Consider the following 24159-nt stretch of genomic DNA (forward strand, 5'->3'; position numbering starts at 1 on the left):
GCCACGTGTGGCCAAGGGCTGGCGGAGCCTGCCCCCCAGGGAGCACTGACTCCTGGAAGTGGTCGTTTTTGAGGGGGCTGTGGGGCTTGTCCCACCTGCCCCCTTCTGTCCAGTACGTGCATGGCACTTCCATCTTGGTGGGTTTTCACTCTTGGCGGCTGCCACACTTTGCATTTCTCTTCCTTTCTTCTTCTCACTGTCCTCCATCCTCCATTCTGTCCAACTCCTATCCCAGCCCCTGGGGAGCCTACCTCAGGTCTGAGAGTCTGGGTGTGTGGATTTCCTTCAGCTACCCGGATGTCCCCACTTCCAAGTCCTGACTCCTTTGAGCCATCTCAGGGGGTGTCCAGCCACTGGACCACAGGAGTAGAGGCCAGGCTGTGACTGTGTGACCAGCAAGGTGTGTGATGTGTGCAGGTGCAAGCACACGACTGTGAGAGTGTAAGAATGGCACCCAGGCCTCAGCTAGGACAGAAGCAGCTGGGGAAGGAGCCTGGGGGCCACAGGCAATCTGATTTTTTCTCCACACCTGGACCACTCACCCTCTATCCCTAACCCTGTCTAAACTAATGGGGTAGTGGTAGCTGCAAGGGCAGGGATGAGAGTGGCTGAAGACTACTTCACTCCCAAAGATTTCTAAGGAAAATGGTTCTACCGCATCCTTTGGCTTGGCCTGGTTGACCCATGACCCTCTTTCAAGAACATTCACTCTGATTTCCAGTGTGCCCTGTTTCTACTGGCCACGTTCTCTAAGGAAGAACAATAGCATCTGTTTTTGTTTCCAAATGGCTGGACAGTGGGGCTGTAGGTCCAGCGCCCATATACAAAAATGAAGCAGGGATTGGGGCTTGCCCTATGACGTGCTGATGACCAAATTAGATGGGTAGAGGGAAGCAGCATAGTATTGGGCAAGATCACTGGACTGGGAGTCCAGAGATGCTGCTTCACCCTGGGGCTTTAAGCAAGTCCCTTTCCCTCCCAGAGCCTCAGCATCCCTTCTATGAAATGATGACGTTCTGCTTTTCTCCTAGGATGGCTGTGGGGATCAAGGGAGACAGTGGCCATAGGGATACTATGTTAACTGCAGATGTGGCCATAGGAGCACTTTGCTAACTGCCAACATGAGTTCAGACTCTTCAGGCTATTTGGCACCCAGGTCTATGGTGAGGTGTGACATATGGGATGCAAAGTTTGATGCCTGCTCCGACTCCAGTCTTGCTAACACACACGAAACCTTTGGCAAATCATGACCCTGCCTTGGGGAAAAGGGCAGTCTGGGAGAGTTTCTTCAAGGCAGCCTGGCTTCAATGCAGTCCGGGGCATGACTGAGATAGGCATACGTTGTGAGGAACTGGAGGGTAACTGGGTAAAGAGCTGCAGTGTGGGCAGAAGTGTAGTGTGGGTCACATTGAGGATAGCCACTGGCCAAAGCAGGGAACAGAGACAGAATGAGGAAGAGCTCTGTGGGGAGGGTGGGGCACCGGGTGGAGAACCTTCAAAGTCCAAAGAGTATGACTTTTTGGGATTCAATGCTGTAGGCAGTAGGGAGCCATGGAAGGCTCTTAGGTGGAGAAATGACAGCCGGACATTAGTGAGCAAGCCCTGTCTCCCTGAGCAGCATGGGTGGTCCTCTGAGCACGCCAGGCACGAGTGTGCAGGGAGCTGGTGCACATGCCTCTGTGTGCGGGTGAGCATCTGTGTTGTGACTCTGCCCACGCATGTACTTCAGTGTGCCGAGTGGCTGCACGCCCCAGATCCATGCAGCACGTGCCGGCCGGTGAGGGTGCTGGGCACCGGGAGGTGGTGGGGAGGGCGACGTATGCGTGTTGTTTGTGGGCATGTGTGTTAGCGTGTGCATGCGGGCCGTGGGGCCTCACAGCATGTGTGTGCACACTCCGGTGTGTGCGTGTGTGTCCCCCACCCCCAGGCCTGCCCCTTCCTTCTGGAGCTGCAGACTTGCTCCTTCCTTTTTCTGTCCTTGTGCTGCTGGCTGTCTCACTTCCCTCCTTGTGAGCCATGGGACTCAGTGCCACTTCTCAAGGTCTCCATGGCTGAGCCTGGGGGCTCCATGCCCAACCTGGCAGACATGGAACCATCAGAGAGGGCACAGAGCTCATGGTTTATGGTGTAGGGGCTGGGAGCTTCGAGGGGGTTGTGTGAGGGGCTGGACTCAGGCGGCCAGAGACCTGGGAACATCATACTGGGCACGCCGTACCTTTCGTGTGGTCTGAGTCATGCTGCCAGGGCAGGGATCCAGCTCCCAGCCTGGGAGTGCTGAGAGCCAAATCCACTGCAGATTAGGGGTGGTAGTCAGGGTCCCACATCCTCTATCTGTCAGCAATCCAGTGGTGATCTAGGATAAAAGCCTGAGAGTCCTATACACATGGTCATCCCACAACACACTTCATAGGCCATGGAAGGACACACAGCCCCCTTCCCTCCCTCCCAGGTACCATGATAGCTGCTAGCATGTGACTGAAGGCAGGGTCCCTGGCCCCTGCTGAAGCACTACTGCTGGCCAGCAGGCTCATGCACCTTGGCCTGTTGCTTCTAGGGTTCGCCAGTGCTATTCAGCCAAGGGGACCCCAGTGCATGCTGGCCCAGCTGAGCTCCACCTAGAGAGCTCACTTCCCTTTCCTGCAACGGAGTCTCCCTCCTCTGCTTTTCCCAGCAGGAAGGGCCCAGCCACACCTATGTAACCTGCAGCCCCCCGCTGACCAGTTGAGGCTCCCATTAGACTTAGAAGTCTATGGCCAATGGCATCCAACTACCTGCACTCCCTGCCTTCCCCAGGTTCCCTCAGAGGACCCTGGGCTTTCTGATGGCTCAGAGGGGCCTCTGGCATTCACTCCAGCCAGCCGTCCCTTATAGATCCACCATTTTGGTTCAGTGTTCCTTCTCTATCAGGCTTGGTGGCTGTTGGATGGGGCTCTCCAAGCAAGAGGTGGCCCTGGGCCAGTGGGTTGGAAGACATGGGGACCACAGAAGAGGGAAGCCCGAGGGGGCTGGCATTGGTCTGAACTGTGGGTGGATGGGTGGATTGCCTGGGTGCCATGAGAGACGCCAGCGTGTGTGGGGTGGGGAGGGCCGCCGCAGTCCCCAGGCACTACCTATGAAGCTCTGGCTTCTCCCTCCATCTTCCTCCCCTTTCCTTTCTAGCCCCTCTTTTCCAGGAACCTTGCCATGCCCACAGCTACGCCCTCCCCTCCCCGGCCCTCCCACAGCTTCTGCAGCGCACCCATACTCTGCACTCGCCTCACCAGCTCTGACTTTTCTCTAACCCGTTTTCTCTCTGCTTTCTCTCCAACTACCAGCTGATCGGGTCAGGCAAGTCCATCCCATCCTGAGAGCCCCAGGCCCCACTTCGACCTCTAAACAGATTCCTCCTCTTCTCAGAGACCTCCCTTTCCAAGCCTGCCTGGGTGGGTGTCCTGTGACTTGACAGTGGCTCCCCCAGCCCCAAAGCCAGCCCCCTTCATCTGTGACTTAGTCTGTTGTAGTGGTGAGCTGACACATCCAGGTGTGACCATTGCTGAAAACTTGTGCCCCCTCTGTGGTATGCCCCTGCCCAGTTCTATAAATAGCTATAAATTCTCTCTCTCTCACACACACACACACACACACACACACACACACATATATACATATATATACGTGGCCAACTGCCTCAGCTCTAGCACTGGGAATCAGTCCCCGTGCTGTGCTTGCGGAGTCTTGTGGACCAGCAAGAGGAAGCTGTCTCCTGACATCGCCCCTCCAACGTGCACCACCTCCATTGAGCTTCCGGGACATGCGTGGCCTGCGGACAGCTAGCCCCCGCCATCCCTCCCACCCTTCTGGCCAAGCATGGCGGTGCTGTGCAGGCAGCTGTGTGGCCTGACAGCCTCTACCAGTCCTGCTGTCCCTTGGCTGAGAAACCCATTTCTGGATGACAGAGAATGTGTCCTCTGCTGGCTGTGTTCTCTATGGACCTCAGGGGACGGAAAAAGCCAAGCCATTTTTAAGGTGTTGTTGGGAGCAGTGAAAAGGTCACACCCTTTTCAAGGGACACTTTTCCTGGAAAGTCCCTGGAGCTTAGCTGGATCTCACCCTGTGAAGCCAGCTCTGGCCACTAGGGGACAGGGCCCTGAACTCAGCCTGGAGGGAACCTGCGGGGCAGCCGGCACTCTGGAGGGACAGACAGGCCACCTGGTGCAGACAGGAGAGGGAGGCAGGGGGACAGAACGGAAGACACTTAGGGTGGATGGAAGTCAGTGCCCTTGGGCGCAGGTATCTGCCTTCCCTGCCACAGCTACATCAGGCTTCTCAACCAGTTGGCTGTCAGGGCCAGACTGTACTCCGTAGGTGACATGGCAGTCCCCATGAAATCCACCAGGTGTCACCAGGCAGCATACAGGTAACAGGCCTGGAAGGTCCCCAACAGCCCAGCTGGACATTCTGAGACACTCTGGGGCTCCTCATTCAGTGGGACAAACTGCAGGACCCAGTGAGGGAAACAGGAACATACCAGGCCGAGCAGTATGGCTAAATCCATTTATTCCAAAATCAAAAGCAAAAAAAAAAAAAAAAAAAACCGAGTACCATCACCAGGGAGCCATGACCCCATCCCCGCCTCCTTCCTTGCTCCTATGCTAGCAATAAATAAGTTTCCCAGCCGTGAACAATTATAAGAACCTCTTCCTCATATGCCAGCTGCAACCTCCGGTAGGTACGATACAGAATGTTACACAGATACAGTATGTACACGGGGGAAGGGGGGCCACCCCCAGCAGCCTGTGCCCTCACCTCATCTACAGTTATCTCCACTGTCCCGCCTCAGCTGCCTCTCTGAGTAAGAAGATGGGAGCCCCCCTGAGGGAAAAGTTGCTTTGGTGAGAGTAAGGAGGCCATCAGACCTCCTCCAAACAAACCAACTCCACCAACCTCTGGCTCTTACATAACAAACATCATCATCCAGAAATGTAAGGACTCAGGCTTGGTCAAGGTGGTAAAGGGTCTCTTTGTCTCCCTCCATTAGACAGGGGTCTTGTCTTGCTACCCTAATGGTAAAGGAGTGACAGGGAAGGGGTTGTAGGGACATGGTAGGGGTGAAGAATCCAGACCCACTTCTCCAGGCGTATGCTGACAGGGGCCTTCTTTTATTTATTTTTATTTTTATCCCATGATGTTTTTTTAAGTCCTGTAACTTCTTTTTCAGGATGTTTTGAAAAAAAATTTCATAAAACTTTTTTTACTTTTTTTCCACAATTTTTTTGCCACAACTTGTCCACAGTATTTTTTATCCCGTAACTTTTTCATCCCACAACTTTTTTAAATTCCTGTCACTTTTTTAGTTTGTGTTCTTTTAATAAACACACTTACATAGTTACAATTTTGTAAGAATAAAAACCGATTATCTCATGCCAAGCATACCCAGAATTTGCAGAGTCTCAATACCCAATACTATAGTTTTCAAGACACACAAAATTTTTAGGCAAAACAGCACCTTGAAACAATTTAATAATGTATTACATTATAGTAGCATCACAAAAGCAGTCAATAATGCCACTTTAGACAAAAATCAGTATTTCCATTATGCATTCTGTGTATAAGAATTCATAAATCAGTAAAAGTCATTCTAAGAAAACTTGGCAAATACAGCTTTGGACTGGAATTGGCATTTCTTTGTCTACTTTCCTTCCCCTACATTCTTTGTTTTAAACAACAGTATTCATATTTTAAAATGTTTTAAATTATTTTAAGACATTAATATAGCAGTTACATTTTTGAATAGTTATTTGAAAGTGACTGTAAGATAAAGTTTTAGAGAATCTATTATGGATAGGGTTGGCTTACATTTTCACATTTTCTAAAAATCAGCTTTGGTTTTAGAACTGATTGTTTTTCATTTCCGGAAAACCTACCAGGTTTAATCAATTACTTTAAAAATAATTATCATATTTTGCAGTCTTTAAATAGGTGTTTTGATTCTTTACTCCCTGAAGAAATTCAAATTTATTCAGTTGAAGTCACATTTTTAAATTCTATGTTCCTGCTGAACTCTAACCTTCTAATGTTGCCTTCTAAGCAAATTAAAAGCTGCCTTATACTGAATGAGGTAGAGAACAAATACTTGGCTGAATGAGGTACTGCAAAAGACTGCATGCACTTTGAAGAAAGACTTGAGTTATTGTCATAGGATTTCCATTCTCTTTAGCTTTTTCTTAAACATATGACAAAATACCTACACAAAGAGTGGTATTTGAATTAATATAGTATATTTATATTTCAGACTGACATTCAGCTTAAATATGCCAGTATGTGATTTAATCCAGAGGTACCTGATGAACACATTATTGTCAGATTGGTTACAGTTGCTAAATGCTATCTGAAGGTCATTCCTAGTCATTTATGTGTCAGGGTAAAAGTGAAGTGATTTGAACTATAAAAATACCTTTGAAATAATTTATCAATGTATTAGATAAGCTCAGTTTCAGAATGATAAACAAAAACTGTTAGACCAAATAACATGGCTAATTAACAGTGGTATGATTTCTAGCCCGAGGGTTTAAAATGGAGTTAAAGTAAGTGTCTTTAAACTGAACTCAAAGAATGCAAAAGCAGCAAGTTCAGAAAAGGCAAGAACAGGACCTTTAGTCCATTTTAAGCCATAAATATTACAAAAAATATGCCTCTAACTGAAACTGAGAGGTATAAAAACATATTTCACTCTTCATAAAGAACTTTGTGAGGAAATATAACTGATTGTATAGACACTTTCCTCATGACACTTTGACATTCACAAACAGTAGATTGTGCTGCAGTTTGTAAACATTTTAAGTTGCATAAACTGCTCCTTGATTTTCAAATGTAGTATAATACTGTCTACTAAAATTCCTTTTTGTTTCAACTAAGTACTCTCGCTATATTAGTTTATAACAATGTTTGTTATTATTTTTAAAGTGTTCTCCATTCAAGGAAAATAAGTAAATTCCTATGTCAGACGGTTGAACACTAGCTATTAGCCAGAGAGGTCTAGATGGTAAAATCCATCTTCTAGCCTCAAATAAGCTATATGAACATAGAGGAATGCCAGGTGTCACACAGCTTTCCTTCACTCAAATTCATTCTTGACTAGAGCCTGTATGCCTGTTCCAGGGACATTTAAACTCTTAAAGGATTTCTTCTGATCTTTACTAAATACAATAAGGAGAATGCCAACCAGTGCCCTTTTGTGTACTGGGACATGTAGTCATGTGATTAAAACAGGGAACATGAACTCTGACTTTAAAATGTTTGTAGATATAAATGCTCTCAGCTAGAAAAGTTTTTCCACATCCACAGTCATGATGGGAGCCTTTCATTCCTCAGAAATAATCCCTTTTCATGTCGTCAAAAAAGAGTACAACTGCCACAGCTCATGAGGCAGTATCTTCATGAGCCCAGAGCACATACAAATCCTAAGGGAACTACCATAGTACAGTGCTCATTCTTGGCACCGGAACAAATGAAACATATTCTATCCTGCACACACCTACCAGAGCAGGCCACTTTCCTCTTTTGGGAGATTTAAAAACCTCCCCAAAATGTTATTACTCCCATCCCCAATACACAGAAAAAGGGGGAAAAGCTGTTTCCAGTGCTTCACCTTTAAACAACTGTAAATGTCAGTACTCACAGTGGCATATTACAAAGTAATAGACCGTGCACTTGAGGGCAGACCACATATTGAGCTAATGAAGAGCTCACTGTGATTAGGATTTGATCAAACATAACAGCAGAACATAAGGAAATTTTATCTGAATTCCGTAATGAATATACATGCTGTACTAACATTTAAAAAGCATGGCAGCCTATCCCAAACCAGCAAGAAAAGTTGTATGCACATAGTGGGTCTTTGGGTGTTTGAACTCCCACCACATAAGGGCAAACTTGATATGCATGCTAACATCCTATAATTATCAAATTTTAAAAAATGCTAAAGGATGCCAGAGTGAACATGAGTGAAAGACCCACTCTCATTTAACTTTTTACAAATAAATTTAAACTATAAATTAGAAACACAAATAAATTTAAACTATAAATTAGAAACACAAATAAATTTAAACTATAAATTAGAAACACAAATAAACATAAGTGGCTCTAACTTTCAAATGAAGTAAATGAATTGTGTGGGAGACTAACCCCTTAACTTTTTTTTTTTTTTAATTTCTTGACCAGCTCTTAGATGATGGTGATGTTTATCTCCCTGTTCTCGGCAGCCCAAAAAGAATGGCATGCAGCATCTCCTGCTCCTCCTGCAGCCTCTCCTGTACCAACAGCTTCTCCACCCAAGCCTGGGTGCTCCTGGGGAGTCCTGCATTAGAGGAAGGAGCTGCTGGATCTGCTGTGCAGTGGGGTTGTCATGGAGAGAACCCTCCCTGTCCTCTCCTGGTGCAGCCTCCACGCTACCAGTGAGGCTCACCTCACTAAGATCTTCAGAGAGAGGGAGGGGGGTGGGAATCTGAGCACAGTGCCAGCCTCCCCTGCTCCTGCCTGCCCACCCCACCTGAGGGCTCTACTCACCACACTGCTTGTCCGCACACCCAAGCTCCTGTGGGATCAGGGCTCCTAGAGCGGTACACAGGTACTGGTCTTGCTGCTGCCGCAGACTTGGAGCCTCTTGGCTCTTCAGCTTCACCTGCCGGAAGACCCTGGGCATGAGGGCATGTGGTGGCTGGCTTCCAGATTCCTGGCCCATTAATAGGGTAGCAAGGGCACCGTGGGGCTCTGTGGCCTGCCCAGGCCGTGGACCCTTGCTCCAGCCCTAAGAGACTGCCTCCCTTGCCTGGAACCCCATGCCTCCTTCCCCAGCCTCAAATCTCACATCCTTTTTCCCAGCATTTAAACTGTAGACCAAAGACTGATGGAAAAGCAGGGGGAGCCAACCACCATCTGCTAAGTGTGCTACATGCCTAATGTTTCCACGTATTATCTCATTTAATCCTCAGCACCTCTGCAAGGAAAAGGCTAACTTCGTTTTGAAGTTAAAGAAACAGAGACTTAGAGATGCAAAGTAGTTGAATTATGACCAGTGGAACCAAGGCCAGAATCCAGTTTGAATCTAAGGAGTCTTGTTTTTCTGTTTTGTTTTGTTTTGTTTTGTTTTGAGACAGTGTCACTCTGTGTCCCAGGCTGGAGTGCAGTGGTGTGATCTCAGCTCACTGCAACCTTCACCTCCTGGGCTCAAGTGATTCTCGTGTCTCAGCCTCCCGAGTAGCTGGGATTACAGGCATGCGCCACCAGGCCCGGCTAATTATTTTTTTAAAAAAAGTTTTAGTAGAGATGAGGTTTCACCATGTTGGCCACGCTGGTCTCAAACTCCTGACCTCAAGTGATTGTCCTGCCTCAGCCTCCCAAAGTGCTGGGATTACAGGCGTGAGCCACCACACCCAACATAAGGAGCCTCTTATACCACTGCCTCTTCCTCTGTGATTGGGGGGCTCCATGCCTCTAGCTGGGATGATGATGTCCAGACCTGGGAGGAGCCCAGGGCTACCCACCTCTAAAAGTCAGAGGGCCGGAAGCAGAAACAGTCATAGGACTGCACTGGAGGGTGCTGGGGTCACCTGCCCTCAGGCTGCAGCTGCCTCTGGCCTGGCACATCCCCTCCCCAGAGGCTGGTGCCTGCCTCTCACATCTTCTTGGAGGGGTCGGAGATTACCGTCTCTTTCAGCTCACCCGGCTTCTTCAGCTCCTTTACTTGTTCCTCCAACTGCATTGCGCTCTTGTTCTCATTGTTCTGGACAGAGAGAAACAATCAGTGGCCACCCACTAAAACTGGAGACCCCAGAACTTAGTGTCTGCCTCCCATGGCACCAGGAAGGGTGGAGGCAGTTTAGAAAAATCATACCCTGTCTCCCACAGCCATCAGAGCAGGGCTCCGTCTCACAGGTGCCTTTAGAAGTACCACTTCATGTGAAGGCTACAATGCCCCATTTTACAGGTGGGGAAACAAGGGCCTTGAGGGCTAGGGAAGAGGGCAGCCTCCCCAGGTGGGGCAACGCACCAGCTCCTTGAAGCCGCTGTGTGACTCCGCCCTCTGCTCATAGAGGGCTTCCCAACCCAGCTCCAGCATCCTCTCCAGCACCCACATCCTCTCCAGCTCCCACAGAGTCTCCTGCTGCCACAGTCTCTCATCCTGCTCCCAAAGCCTCTCCTGTTCCAGCAGCTCCTCCACCTTGTCCAGCAGCCTCTCCCTCTCCAGCAGCCTCTCCTGCTCCTCTTGCCACCTCTCCTGTTCTAACAGCTTCGCCACCTCTTCCAGCAGCCTCTCCTACCCTGGCAGCTTTTCCTGTTCACACAGCCTCTCCTCCTATTCACATAGCCTCTCCTCCTGTTCACATAGCCTCTCCTTCTGTTCATGTAGCCTCTCCTCCTGTTCACGTAGCCTCTCCTCCTGTTCACGTAGCCTCTCCTTCTGTCTCCTGTTCAGGAGACTCAACATCTGATTGTTTTCCACCTCAGCCTGGAGCTGTCTTCCCACACTCTCCAGCTCCTTCCTTAGGTGGTTGGTCTCATCTTGTAGCTGCTCCACCTCAGAGGGCCCTGCTGGGGGCTCTGGGGCCAGGGGTTCAGCTGAGAAAGGAAGCAGACAATAAGGGCCTCTGGACTCTCAAAAAAAAAAAACAAAAAAAAAACCTCCCTTTGTTGGACAGCTCCTCCTCTCAGGCTTCCCAAACTTGGCCTCACTGCTAATGACTCCTCACACCCGGATGACAGCTAATCTTCCAAGTCACTTTCACATAGAGAGCACTGTGGGTGGCTGACAATGGGCATTCCTCCCTCTTTACTGATGCGGACACTGAGGCTCATGGAGATGACAAGACTTGCTGTCTCCTGGCACAGACCTCTTTCCCTCTGCCTCAAAGCCCTTCCATCCACCCACCTCCCTGGGGCATTCTAAGTCACCCCCACAGCCCTCTGATGCCAGTCCTCCTCCCAGGTCATGCCAGCCCCATCTTACCCATCTGGTTTTGGTAAACCCAAGCTTCTGTACTCGATGTATCTCATGCTTCTTCTCCTCCTTCGATGTGCGAACGTGCCCAAAGCACAGGGAGGAGAGGGCCCTGGAGAGAGGGGCTGCTGAACCTGTAGAGACAGAGTTTGAGAAAGTCCCACCTCCCTTCTGCCAGCTTGTGATTTAGAAAGGTGCATTCATTCAACACTTACTGAGCATGTACAGGCCAGGAACAGATCTTCATAGCAGAGATATAAGAGAGCAAAGAACAGACAGGAGCCCTTGGCCCTGAGGTTTCCATTCTAAGGGCCTTTAAATCTCTTTCAGAGCTAACAGTGACCTTTGATACTCTCTACCTCCTCCAGAAACACGAGCCTAAGGAGGAGAGATGGCTTGTCCAGACTCAAAAAGCAAATTAGGGACTGAGGCAGGGCAGAAATATGGGCCCCTGACAACCAGTCAGGCTAGTGCTTCCCTGAGAGGTGACAAACCCAGGGCATGTGTGGCAACAACTAGAGCAGGGGTGTCTGGAGAAGAGAGAGTCAGCAAAGAGGGCAGTGGAGAAGAGCCACGCTGCATGTTCTGTGCTCTGGGGTCCCTCCAGGTGAGGCCTGGGTGCCCCAGCTCCCCACTGGTCCTGGCATCAGGGGCCCCTAGCCCCTTTCTTCAGGGCCCCAAGAGGAAACTGGAGTCCAGGATTGACCAGCTGGAATCAGGGGACCCCACTGGACTCTTACCAGTGAATTGATGTTTTCACTGAGTTGACTGATTATTGCGGAGCTTGAATCCAGGGCTACTGCTAGTTCTTGGTACTGGCTCTGAGGTGCATGCAGAGAGGAGGAGTTGGAGGAAGATTGTGGGGAGGGGTAGAGAAAACAATCATTAGGGCTGGTGGGGGCGTGTAGGCTGTCTCAGCTGGCAGAGGGGCAACAAGCCCCTGCTGTGGGAGGAGGTTGGAGGGCTGGCCTGCAGGGTCACTGCACCTCAGCCCAGGGCCTCTTACCTCCAGATCCTCCAGGGTAGCAGATGATGCAGGGCCCTCCCTGTAGATACCTGCTGCTGACTGCAAGAGATGAGAGTGCATATGGAGATGTTCTGTCCCCCCTCACTGTCTAAGCCCTCTGACTTCCTTTCTTCCCCCATCAACTGGCAAAAGCTTCTTTTCTGCCTATCTTGGACCCTTTGTCCCATAACTCCTTTGTGCCAACTTCTGTCATGGTTCTTATCTCCCCACCATCCCACCGTGGGGCCCTTTCAGTGACTCCTAAAGGGACAGCCTGATGGCAAGTGGCTCTTCTCATTAGCCTGGCTTCCTCTTGAGACTGAGGATGAGGAAAATCAAACAGCAATGACCATTTTCTGGGTGTCCTGGGTGTTTTCAGCAGGCCATATACTAAGGATTCACATAAAAGCAACAATAATAAATCTGATTTAAATTTAACAAATGGAAGTCAAAAAATACCACCTCTATTATACAGATGTGAAAAGAGAGGCCCAAAGACCTCAAGCAACTTACCCTAAATCATATGCTAATCAATCCCTAATCAATCCTTAGCAGATGGAGAGGCAGGATTCAAACCCAGAATTCTTAACCAGTACCCAACAGTCCATCCACAATCTTAAAAATTACCCTCTACTGCCCCTTGGGCCCCCTGTCCCCAGGAGCCTGGCCCGCCAAGACTCACATCCCCAGGTGAGTGGTAACCACCAGAAGTGGCTGTGTCAGGGCTACTGCCATTGATTTTCTTTTTCCTGTTAGCTCCTTCTGGAATGCCAGGGCTCTTCCTCTGCCAATATTCTTTTAACTGTGGGAAAAAAAGAGCAGTAACACTCATGAGAATGATCAGCCCCTACAGCCACATCCTCCTTTACAGTTTTGACAAAATACTCTTATATACCATCTGGTTTAATGCCACCAACAATTGGACAAGGTGTTGTCACAGTCATTTAGTGATTGAGAGGGATTGATATCATGGATAGAAAAAAAAATGTCAAAACTGGAACTGAAACTCAGTCCTCTGACTCCAAGCTCTGGAGTTTTCCATGAATCAGCAGCTGCCAGGGACCAAAACAAGGGGTAGAGGTAGAAAAGTAAACATTAAGCAGGCAGGAACTGTAGGCCGTGTGGTTTAGAGTCATACATCCTCACAGGTCTGCTAGCGTGAAAAAGCACACCAGTACCTCCCACACTTTCATATCAATGTGTCTTCATGGCAGAAGGCAGCTTTTCTGTTAAATCTGGGAATTTATCAGAAAGAGGACAACCCAAGCCTCATTTCAGAGAGAAGTCTGGTATACACTTGGAAACCTATGTGTCTGTCATCCCTAAGTACATTAATGTTTTTTCTCAAGAGAATCAAGGGAAAATGATGCTTCAGAAAGATGTCCCACATTTATCCTGTGGCACTCAAAGTACCCTAGGTTGAGATGATATGAGGAAGATTCAAGCTGTCAAGTTCAGTTTCCCAAGATCTATTCCACAGAAGATGAGCAAATCTCACTTCAGAGACCACTGACTGAAGGTCAGTCTGGTCCCAGAACCATGGAGAACTCAGAAAATATGTTAAAGTCTCTCTGGAAGGTATAAGCCTGGGAGAAAACCAAACCAAACCCATTCTCCCATTGCTGCCCAGAGATACTGTCAATGTTTTGAGCTCACAGGAAGTGTAAGCTTTTCACACTGTGAATTAGACATTGTTCACGGTGTAAAGCAGCCTGAAACTTCTTGCTCATAAGTCCCATAGTCCCCACTCCCCTTCCAGCTGGAAATTTGTGCTGCAACCAGAGGAACCAGAAATGGGGTGAGAAAACTTAGGGGACTGGGTTGTAAAATCAAAGGCCGGTCTTGCAGCAGTAATGACAGTTCCTCGTGGGACTGTGACATCACTACATTCCACTCCTCCCAGGGGAGGGGACCACATCGGCTTGATGCCCAAGTTGCCGCTCCATGATGGGGGAGGGAAACACAGGGTTTTGACCCAGGTCCTCGGAGATGCCAGTCCAAGAAGCCCAGGGAGGTCGAGCTTGGGGCAGCAAGAGGGGAGGGCCGAGTCTGCAGTAGGGAGCCCCGGGAGTCAAAAAAGTCACCCAGGTATGACTGGCCAGGGCGGGGCCCGGGGCTGGGGGACCCAGCTCCTGGGAGACACAAGCCCAAAGAGCCCAGGGAGGTTGGGCTTGGGGTGGCAGGAGGTGAGGTCCGAGTATGGAGCAGGGAGCCCCAGGAGTCACCCTCCCAAAGTCACCCTGTGGTGACTGGCAAGGGCAAGGACTGAGTGGCTTGCTGAAGGGGTGGGGCTGACTGACAAGACTTTGGTTGGGGGAGCCCAGAGGCGCTGGTGTTGGGGGGCCTAGTCTGGTATGCCTCAGGAGTGGTATGGACTCTGCCACCGGTCTTGTCATCGGAGGGGATCTGTGGCTGGGTTGGGGGCCATGACCTGGTGCGTTTTACCTTTTTCTTGGCTGCAGCCAATTTCCCCTGTTGTGTGTTTTCTGACATCGTGGGGTGGGGAGGGAGGCGGGGTTGGGGCCACATCAGCAAAATCCCAGTGAGCACTGCTGAATGCCTCCAGTCACCTACAAGGCAGCTGTGCGACTGAACCACAGGTGGTGTAACCAGGGCACCAATGTAACACAGAATAGGGGCTTGGCCTTAATGCTCCAAGCCCATTGGTCAGTGAGAAAGATGAAAGGGAAAGGAGGCGTGTCCAGGCAGCAGCATGTCCAGAGGGACCTGTGGCATCATAAGGAAAGCTGGCCATGCAACTGCTGTCCCCGCCCACTAAGAGAGAGGGGAGGGGCCGCCCAATCTGGGAGAGGGGAGGGGCTGGCTTTTGCTTTAAAAGCTTTAAAACTGTAAAAAATAAACTTTAAAAAATATATGTGTGTATACTTTATATATGTGTGTCTGTGTGTATCTATGTGTTCCTCCAGAGCTGTCTTCATTATCCAGCTTCTATGCAAAGTCTATGATTTTGGCCTATATTTTTCATCTTCAAATGGAACACAAGAATTACCAGTATTACCTTAACTGAAATATAGATCCTATATAAATGGAAAATCCATAGAATTCTTGATGATTAATGAAGCCAACTATAGTATCCGACATTCCAATAACAGAAAATAATCACAATGATTTCTCTTTTTTGGAAAAATGTTTGTCTTATTCTCCTACATTATTGTTAAGATTTCTTTTAAAAACAAGAAACATGTCTAATATCTTTAAAAACACAAAGCTTTTGGGCCGGGTGTGGTGGCTCACCCCTGTAATGCCATCACTTTGGGAGGCCGAGGTGGGTGGATCGCCTGAGGTCAGGAGTTCAAGACCAGCCTGGCCAACATGAAGAAACCCTATCTCTACTAAAAATACAAAAACTAGCCAGGTGTGGTGGTGGGTGCCTGTAATCCCAGCTATTTGGGAGGCTGAGGCAGGAGAATCACTTGAACCCAGGAGATGGAGGTTGCAGTGAGCCAAGCTCACGCCACTGCACTCCAGCCTGGGCGACAGAGCAAAACTCCATCTCAAAATAAATAAAATAAAATAAAATAAGATACAAAATAAGTAGGAACACAAAACTTCCAATTTAATAAGCACTTAAAGCTCTTTACTGGTTTAAAACAAATACAAGGCCCATTTTTCTAGAATCACCTGGCCTCTCTAAGCCTTGCAAATGAAACTGAATTTCTCACTTGATACCTGGCTATGACTTGCAATCATGAAAACCAAGAATTGTGTTATGTCACTGTGTATTGCTTGTTACCTGAAATCCACACTAGGCTGGGATCAAGGGTTGAATCTTTCATGATTTTCTCCATAACCTGTGTGCTTCTTATCCCAGACCAAACTAAGCTTTTTTCTAGAGTTCTACAATTTACACTTAATAGACAAGAGTGGTTCTCAAAATGTAGTCTATGGACTAGCAGCACCAGCAGCACCTGAGACCTTTTTATAAGTGCAAATTCTCAGGCCCCACCCTGGACCTGGTGAATCAGAAACTCTGGAGTAGGGTTCAGCAATCTGTGCTGCAGTAATCCCTCCAGGTGTTCAAGAACCTCTGGCATACAGCAGTTAGTAAAATGTGTTTACTTCTGTAGGTCCAAAGCCAGGGTTGCCATATGGTCTGCCTTGTTATGAAACAATGACATGCAATTAAAAGACAAGAATCTCCTTCCTACTCGCACCCTCCATCCAATGTGTTTTATTTTTATGAGTTCCATAAGAAAAACAAGTGGCAATCAGAGATTTAGTCTAAAAAGTATGTTTACAAGTGTCCGTTCTCATCCAGCCTGATCGCCTACAAAACCATTTACATCCTCTTACATCTCAAGTTTTAAAAAAGTATCTTCACAATGTAAGACTCAAGCACACTAGCAGTTCTATAATAAAACACCAAGTAGATCAGAATGTCCAACCTTACTAGAGAAGAAAAGTGCAATCATTGGCCATATTTTCAAATTGCATTCAACAGGAAATTTAAGTTTTGAATTTTTTTCACCTTCATACTTCCAAAGTAATAGAATTAAAGCAGAATATGCCATTCTTTCAAATACTCTAGCCAGGCAAAGTTTTACTGTATTATTTCTTGCTTTCAATGGATATAAAGCAGATTCCTGGTAGGCACATTCTGTGTACCTTCAAAGATGCAGAACTAAACAGTTCCATCTGTTCAATATTAAACCAAAAGTCCTGTAGACCGCGGATGGTGAGTGTAATACTTCAGCACTAGCCCAAAGCCTCAAATATGAAAACATACCAAGAACACCACTACCAAACAAAACTAAACTCTCTGTCAGGAGCAGTAGCTGACACCTGTAATCCCAGCACTTTGGCAAGCTGAGGTGGGAGGATTACTTGAAGTCAGGAGTTCAAGACTAGCCTGGGCAGCATAGAGAATTCACATCTCCACAAAAATTTTTAAACATTAGCTGGGTGTGGTGGCACACAGCTGTAGTCCTAGCTACTTGGCAGGCTGAGGTGGGAAAATTGCTTGAGGCGAGGAGTTCAAGGCTGCAGTAGCTATGATTATGGCACTGCACTCCAGTCTGGGTGACAGAGCGAGACTTAGATAATTACATTTTCTCCTGCTCCTGTTTACACTAAAATCACGAAGTTAAAAGGCTTTCAAATTTGGCAGGATAAAAATTAAGTGAAATGTGACTTTGGAGCTTGGCTAATGAAAGAAAGAAAGAAAGAAAGGAAAGAAGGAGGGAGGGAGGGAACAAAGAGAAAGAAAGGAAAGGAAGAAAGAGAGAGAGGGAAAGAAGAAAGAAAAAGAGAGAGAAAGAAAAAGAGAAAAAGAAAGAGGAAAGAAAGAGAGGGAGGGAGGGAAAAGAAAAGAACGTAAGAATGGAAAGCAAGAAAGAAAAGGAAAGCAAGGAAGGAAGAAGAAGAAGAAAGAACGAAACAAGGAAAAGAAAGAAAAAGAGAAAGAAAGAAAGGGAAAGGAAAGGAAAAAGAAAAGAAGAAAAAATGAAATGACAAATTACTTACTGGGAGAAAGTTTTTGTAACCTCAATGACAGATAAAATGCTTGCATCCTTAGTCTATAAAGAAATCTTTAAAATTACTGAGAAAAAAAACAAATGATTTTCAACTGAAATGGTTAATGGAGAAACTGGCATGTCTCACAAGAATAAAAATGGCCAATGGCATATACAAAGATTCAAAAGCACAAGAAATCAAAGAAATGTCATGAAAACAATGAGATTTTCTGTATAAAGGCAGGAAAGATGACAAATGGAAAGGGGAACCTGGAGCTCTGTCCTTGTTGGTGGGAGTGTAACCTGAGTCACTTTTCCTGGAGAATGATTTGAAAGTTTCTATTAAAAACCCTAAAAATTATTTTCCTCCAGAAATTCTACTTCTATGAATTTAGTCCAAAAATGTTTGCTCAAGCCCATTAAAATGTATGTATAAGAAAATTCACCGGCCGGGCGCGGTGGCTCACACCTGTAATCCCAGCACTTTGGGAGGCCGAGGCGGGCGGATCACGAGGTCAGGAGATCGAGACCATCCCGGCTAACACGGTGAAACCCCGTCTCTACTAAAAATACAAAAAATTAGCCGGGCGTAGTGGCGGGCGCCTGTAGTCCCAGCTACTTGGGAGGCTGAGGCAGGAGAATGGCATGAACCCGGGAGGCGGAGCTTGCAGTGAGCCGAGATCCCGCCACTGCACTCCAGCCTGGGCGACAGAGCGAGACTCCGTCTCAAAAAAAAAAAAAAAAAAAAAAAAAAAGAAAGAAAATTCACCTCTGGGGTGGCAGTGATTAACTTAATATACATGCAGCTATTAAAAATGATGGTGCCAGGATACATTTACTGCCACAGAAATATGCCCAAAATATAGTAAGTGACAAAAGACTACATATTACGATTCTACTTTTTAAAAGGTTTATGTGCATAAAAACATATAAAAAGCAACAAGCCACAATGTTTTGAGTGGCAAATTAAAGATTTTTCTTAATATTTGTCATCCAAATTATTACAAAAAGAATGATTTCCTTTATAATGAGGGAGAATTGTGATTTTCATTTATTTATATTTAAATCTCTTTTCTTTTTCTGATTTTTTTTTCTCCTGTATGTATCCCATGTAGGCTAGAATCCCTGCCTCTTGAGGTAAATCAGCCCATTTTCGGGAAGTGCGCTACAGAAAGCTGCCCTAGCTTCCTTTTAAGAGATGTGGAGACATTTTTTATTTCAAATTGTTTTATCATTCTCAGATTATTTTGTTTAATATATGAAATTGAGGAAAAGACAAAGGAAAGGCTGACTCCCTACCCTCCTGGGGCTACTCTTCCAATTTTTGCTGCTATTGTTTATATTAATATTCACTAGGTACTAAAAAATGGGCAGCCCCTTAGATCATTTGTTCTTATCTCTTTCTCATAATCCTACTTCATTCCTTCATTCACTTATTTTTAAAAGGGTCATGTGTACAAACACATGGTTCAGAAAATTTTTAAATATAACTACCTATAAAAGTATGTGGCCAAATCCCATTCACAGTCTTATTCTCCTTCTACAGCCAAACACTTTTAATTGGTTTCTTATATATCATTTCAGAATTTATCTTTGCAAATACACACGTATATTCTTATTCTACTCTTCTCTCTCAACACAAAAAGTAGCATACCATACATACTATACCATTCCTTGTTCCTCTTAAAACACACACAATATATGTGAGTTCTTCTACATGAGTACAGAGGTCTTTGTCATTCTTCTTTACAACCGCACAGTATTCATCGTTTGGATGTACCACAGTTTACTTAACCAGTTCCCTGTTGGTGGACACTGAAGTCATCCCTATCATACTATTACAAACAATAATGCCAAGCATAACCACCCACACACTAAGTTCATTTCTGAATCTGCCTTTGATGAAGCCTCTATTTGAATCACCACAAAGTCACAAGGCTGAAAAGTTAGCCAATTTTTTAGTTTTCATTATGTGCAGCAGTATGTAGCAAAAGACTCCCTTGGGCAAAGCAAATGTGCTCTTTGGGGATTTACTGCATAACAATAAATGGATTAACACCAAGGAGAAATATTTCTATTTAACCATGCATACGTATGTATATAATGCATGCATATGCATAGATAGTATACAATAAATCCATCAAAGCATTAAGCATTGTCTCAGTATGGTGGATCTATGGAGTGCTTTGTAGACAGCCCTCCTTGCCTATCAATTCTTCCTAGTTTCAAAACAGTGAATATGTACTATTTTTGCAATATAAAATTTCAACAAATGTTAACTCAAGCCAGATACATTCCTTCAGTCTGTCCTATATTTGTATGGTGCTCCAGAGTGCTCAAATATCATGTCATTTAAAAAATTTATTTATTTTTTTTTCAAATATAGAAACAGGCAGGGCTTTGCTCTGTTGACCAGGCTGGTCTTGAACTCCTAGATCCTCCTAGATCCTCCCACTTCCACCTCCCAAAGTGCCGCTATTACAAGTGGGAGCCATCCGGCCCGGCTGGCTTCATTTGAGAAATATTTCCCCAGAACTCCATATATTATGAATAATTCCTTTCTTCTTGTTTAGATACCATCTTAGTCATATCTCTATTACCTCACTTGTCACATGATAATCAGTTGCTCACCCATCCATCTTCCTTGATTGCTCGAGAAGAGTCTGATTTTCAGCACCTTGAACAGTGTGCAATACATACATGCTTCATACGCAGAGAAGGAAATGATATCACTACAGTGTAATTATTCCCAGAATTCAATGCCCGTATTTGTAGATTGTTCCAGATACTCTGCCAACAACCTGAGAATGTTACGTGTTTTCCCTAAAACTTCCATCCATTACTGAGTGTCTACGGTCATAGTTAACTCAGTTGCGATGTGACCTCTGGCCAAGCCCATTCATAGTTTGTATTTAAGGTGATTTTTAATCTGAATTTTTGATTTTGATAGTTTCCTTTTTGTTTTTTTAATCTAGCAGTGTTTGGTAAACTTCTACATCTCTATATCCCTATGTCTTTGCACCTACTGGTCTCTGCTTGGAATAATAGCTCAAGGTTTTATTCACCTGGAAAAAATTTCTACTTACCCTTAAAGAATCAGCTTAAATAAGCTGGGCATGGTGGCTCATGCCTGTAATCCCAGCACTTTGGGAGGCCAAGGTGGGTGGATCACCTCAGATCAGTAGTTTGAGACTAGCCTGGCCAACATGGTGAAACCTCATCTTTACTAAAAATACAAAAAATAGCTGGGTGTGGTGGTGGATGCCTGTAATCCCAGCTACTCAGGAGACTGAGGCAGAAGAATCACTTGCAACTGGCAAGCAGAGGTTGCAGTGAGCTGAGATCACGCCATTGCACTCCATCTTGGGTGAGAGAGCAAGACTTCATCTCAAAAACAAAAACAAAATCAGCTTAAATGATACTGTCTCTGAGAAGCCTTTATATCTTCCTATTCTTTCAGTAACAGTTGAAAATTCCTCAACTCTTAAAACATTTGTGCCTCTATTATTATGTATCAGGCACGGAACTGAGTGTCTAGGATAGAAAGATGAAACTGTAGACCCTGCCCTCATGGAGTTCATGGTCTAGTATGGAAAACAGCCATATGAACAAATAACCACACTGTAGGTCTTCAGAGCTCAAACCCTATCCTAAATACTGCTAAATTAATATTCTGTGAGGTTTTGAAATTACTAGGGCCAGAGACAATATCGCTGTTTGGATGACTTTCCATCCAAGTTAATATTCCGCCATCATCATCAAAGGTGATATGTGTGTACCTCTTCCTTGCAACCCACCAGGGCCTAACACATCATATACCCACTTTTGAAATTAGGAAACAGCCTCAGAAGTCCAAGAGCTTGACCAAAGTAACTCAGCTGTTAGGTAGCAGAACCAGGTCGGTATGATTCTTCTTCAATATCCTCCAAGTTATATGGGCAAGTGGCCTCAAAATCAACAAAAGACAAGTAGAGGTTGATATGCATCAATGGAGAGAGGCTCAAAAGGAAGAGTTTATACACAAGAATAGAACAGAAATGTTCTAGAAGTATGTCTGGGGATGTGAAGTAGGAGGGGGCACACCAGGTTTCACCTTGGTCAAGTGAATCTATAATTCCAACCTGGGCCTCACCCCTGAGCTCCAGACTTAGCTATCTGTTTTTCTCACTCTAATATAAAATCCATAGGGCAGGACTTAATCTCTAGGTTGTTCATCACAAATTAAAGCAGAGTCTGGTTTATAGTAAGTACTTAATAAATAAATAAACAAACTATCAAAGAAGCTAAAGAAACATTCTACACTCTTGGGGGAAGGGATTACCATGAAATGCCATCTGTCCTTTTTCTTCTTTTCAGTATTTGGGGTGTTCTTCATTGAAAAAGATTAGCTTCTTCAATTAGCTCCCTTCTCTTCCAGATAGGAAGAGAGAGGGAGAGGGAGAGAGAGAGGAATAGAGAGAAGTTTCATATTTTAACTATGGTTCAATTCTAAGCATTCTAAAATTGTATTGAGTTTTTTAAACCACGAATTACAAGGGTGTTTAATTTCCAAATTCATGTAGCTTTTTTTTAATCTCTTCATTATTGCCTTCTAACCTTAATTGCTTCATATTTAAATTATAAATTATATGGTGTGGATGGTACCAATTGTTTTTTAAATCTTCTGACTTGCTTTATGAATTAATATATAATTAATGTTTCACCCACAGTCCACATATGCTTGAGAAGAATATACAATATCTAATTATTGGGTACAAAGGTCTATATTTGTCCATTACACCATGTCCATTCACTGGTTATTCAAATCTACATATGGGCATTCCGTGTAACTTACTTATGGTAAGCAGGGTATGGTGAAATCTCCAAATATGCTGGCAGACTTGTCAATTTCTACCTGTGGTTTTATCAGTTTTTCTCCTGCATTTTGAGGCTATTTTGACAGGTACATAAAATATGAAAATTGCTACATCCTCCTAATTAACAGTCAGCATCAAGTTTCTTAATAACGCTTTCTGTTCCAAAATCCTTTTTTGATATTGAAGCTCCATCACTTGTTTTTGGTTAATGTATACTGCCATATCTTTATCACTCTCTCTCCTTTATAAAAACTTTCAATCTTCTCATATCCTTATATTTTAAATATGATGGATTAAAACAGCTGGATATTCTTTTATTAGTTCCACCTAACTGGTAACTTTAGTCCATTTACATTTGTTGTGACTGATTTATGTGGACTTCCTTCTATCACCTTTAGAATTTCTATTTCTCTCACTTTCTAATATAATTTTAATATTCCCTCCTGGGATTCCACTAAGACATATTTTAGACCTCATTCTGATCTCCCTCCCCCTACAACCCCACCAACTTCTGCCCTATCATCTATCCTCATGTCTTTCTGTGTAACATACTGACTCACTTTTGGGAGATAATTGTCTAACCAATTAATTCTTTCTTCTGATGTCTAATCCATCCACTGAGGTTTTTATTTCAACAATTACATTTTTTATTTCTTTATTTCATTTTATTCTGAGACGGAGTCTCACTCTGTCACCCAGGCTGGACTGCAGTGGCATGCACGTGCAGCCCTTGTCTCCTGAGCTCAAGTGATCCTCCTCAGCCTCCTGACTAGCTAGGACTATAGACATGTGCCCCATACCCAGCTACTTTTTTTTTTTTTTTTTTTTTTTGGTGGTGTTGGGGTATTTTTTACAGAAACGAGTTCTCACCATGTTGCCCAGGCTTGTCTCCCCAACTCCTGGGCTCATACCATCCTCCCACCTCAGCCTCCCAAACAGTGCTGGGATTACAGGTGTGAGCCACCAGATCCAGCTATATATTTTATTTCTGTAAGTTCTAGTTCATCCATTTTCTTTTCAGGTCCTCCTCATCATTCCTGGTGGTCTTTCTGTTGCTCAATTTAATGAGTCCTTCTTTTATATTAGGTTTCACATGTAACTATTTTCTCACAATTCTAATATTTGAAGTCTGTGTTCTGTATCTGATAATTCCAAAACCTAGTCTTTGGGAAACATATTCATTGTTTCTAGCAATTCTCAAATATGTTGTGTTGAGACTACTTGAATGCTGTGATTTGACTGAATTCATATTTGCCTGCTTTTAATCTTTGGGAATCCTACAGGCTTAAGTTAGAGATGTTTTCCTATAAAAAGTATCTGTGTCTGCTTCTGATGAGAGCTGTGGGTACAACTAACATGAGAGCACTTTACCACCATGCATAATCCTGACATTCTCTTGGATTATCTTGGAGCATCTCAGCATTACACAAGGTTCTCAAATCTGGCTCCCCACCATTGCTCATTTATATACAGAAGACTAGACTGCTTAGTATAGGTGGTGACTCACTTCTTGCTACCCTGGAAAAAACAAAACGGATCTCTCATCTGAATGTGATCACAGACTAGGAAATTCTGAAGGTGAATAACTAGAGGCTGTGGGCAGCAGGGAAAGACAGGTGTCTTTCCTGACCATAGAAATAGGTCAGAAGCTGCCCTAAAGGCTGTGTGCTACAGCATTTCACTATTTAGCTCAACTACCATTCCCTCCATAAGTGTGAGTGGAAGTTTCTTGGAGCACCATATTGCCTTTAAACGAAACCAAATTTTTGCTCAAAAGTCATGGTCATGGAAAACAAAACAAAACAAAACAAAAAACCCTCTGGCTTTGGAAGGCTTTCTCAGTAATGT

General features: G+C 45.1%; 3 pseudogenes; 1 reads left to right on the forward strand and 2 right to left on the reverse strand.

Annotated features, from left to right (window-relative positions):
* Window positions 59–5015, forward strand: DNM1P26 (dynamin 1 pseudogene 26; annotated as a pseudogene).
* Window positions 5226–8151, reverse strand: GOLGA6L14P (golgin A6 family like 14, pseudogene; annotated as a pseudogene).
* GOLGA6L16P (golgin A6 family like 16, pseudogene) lies at window positions 10028–12785 on the reverse strand (annotated as a pseudogene).

This window comes from Homo sapiens, chromosome Y (assembly GCF_000001405.40).
Source record: "Homo sapiens chromosome Y, GRCh38.p14 Primary Assembly".
NCBI lineage: Eukaryota > Metazoa > Chordata > Mammalia > Primates > Hominidae > Homo > Homo sapiens.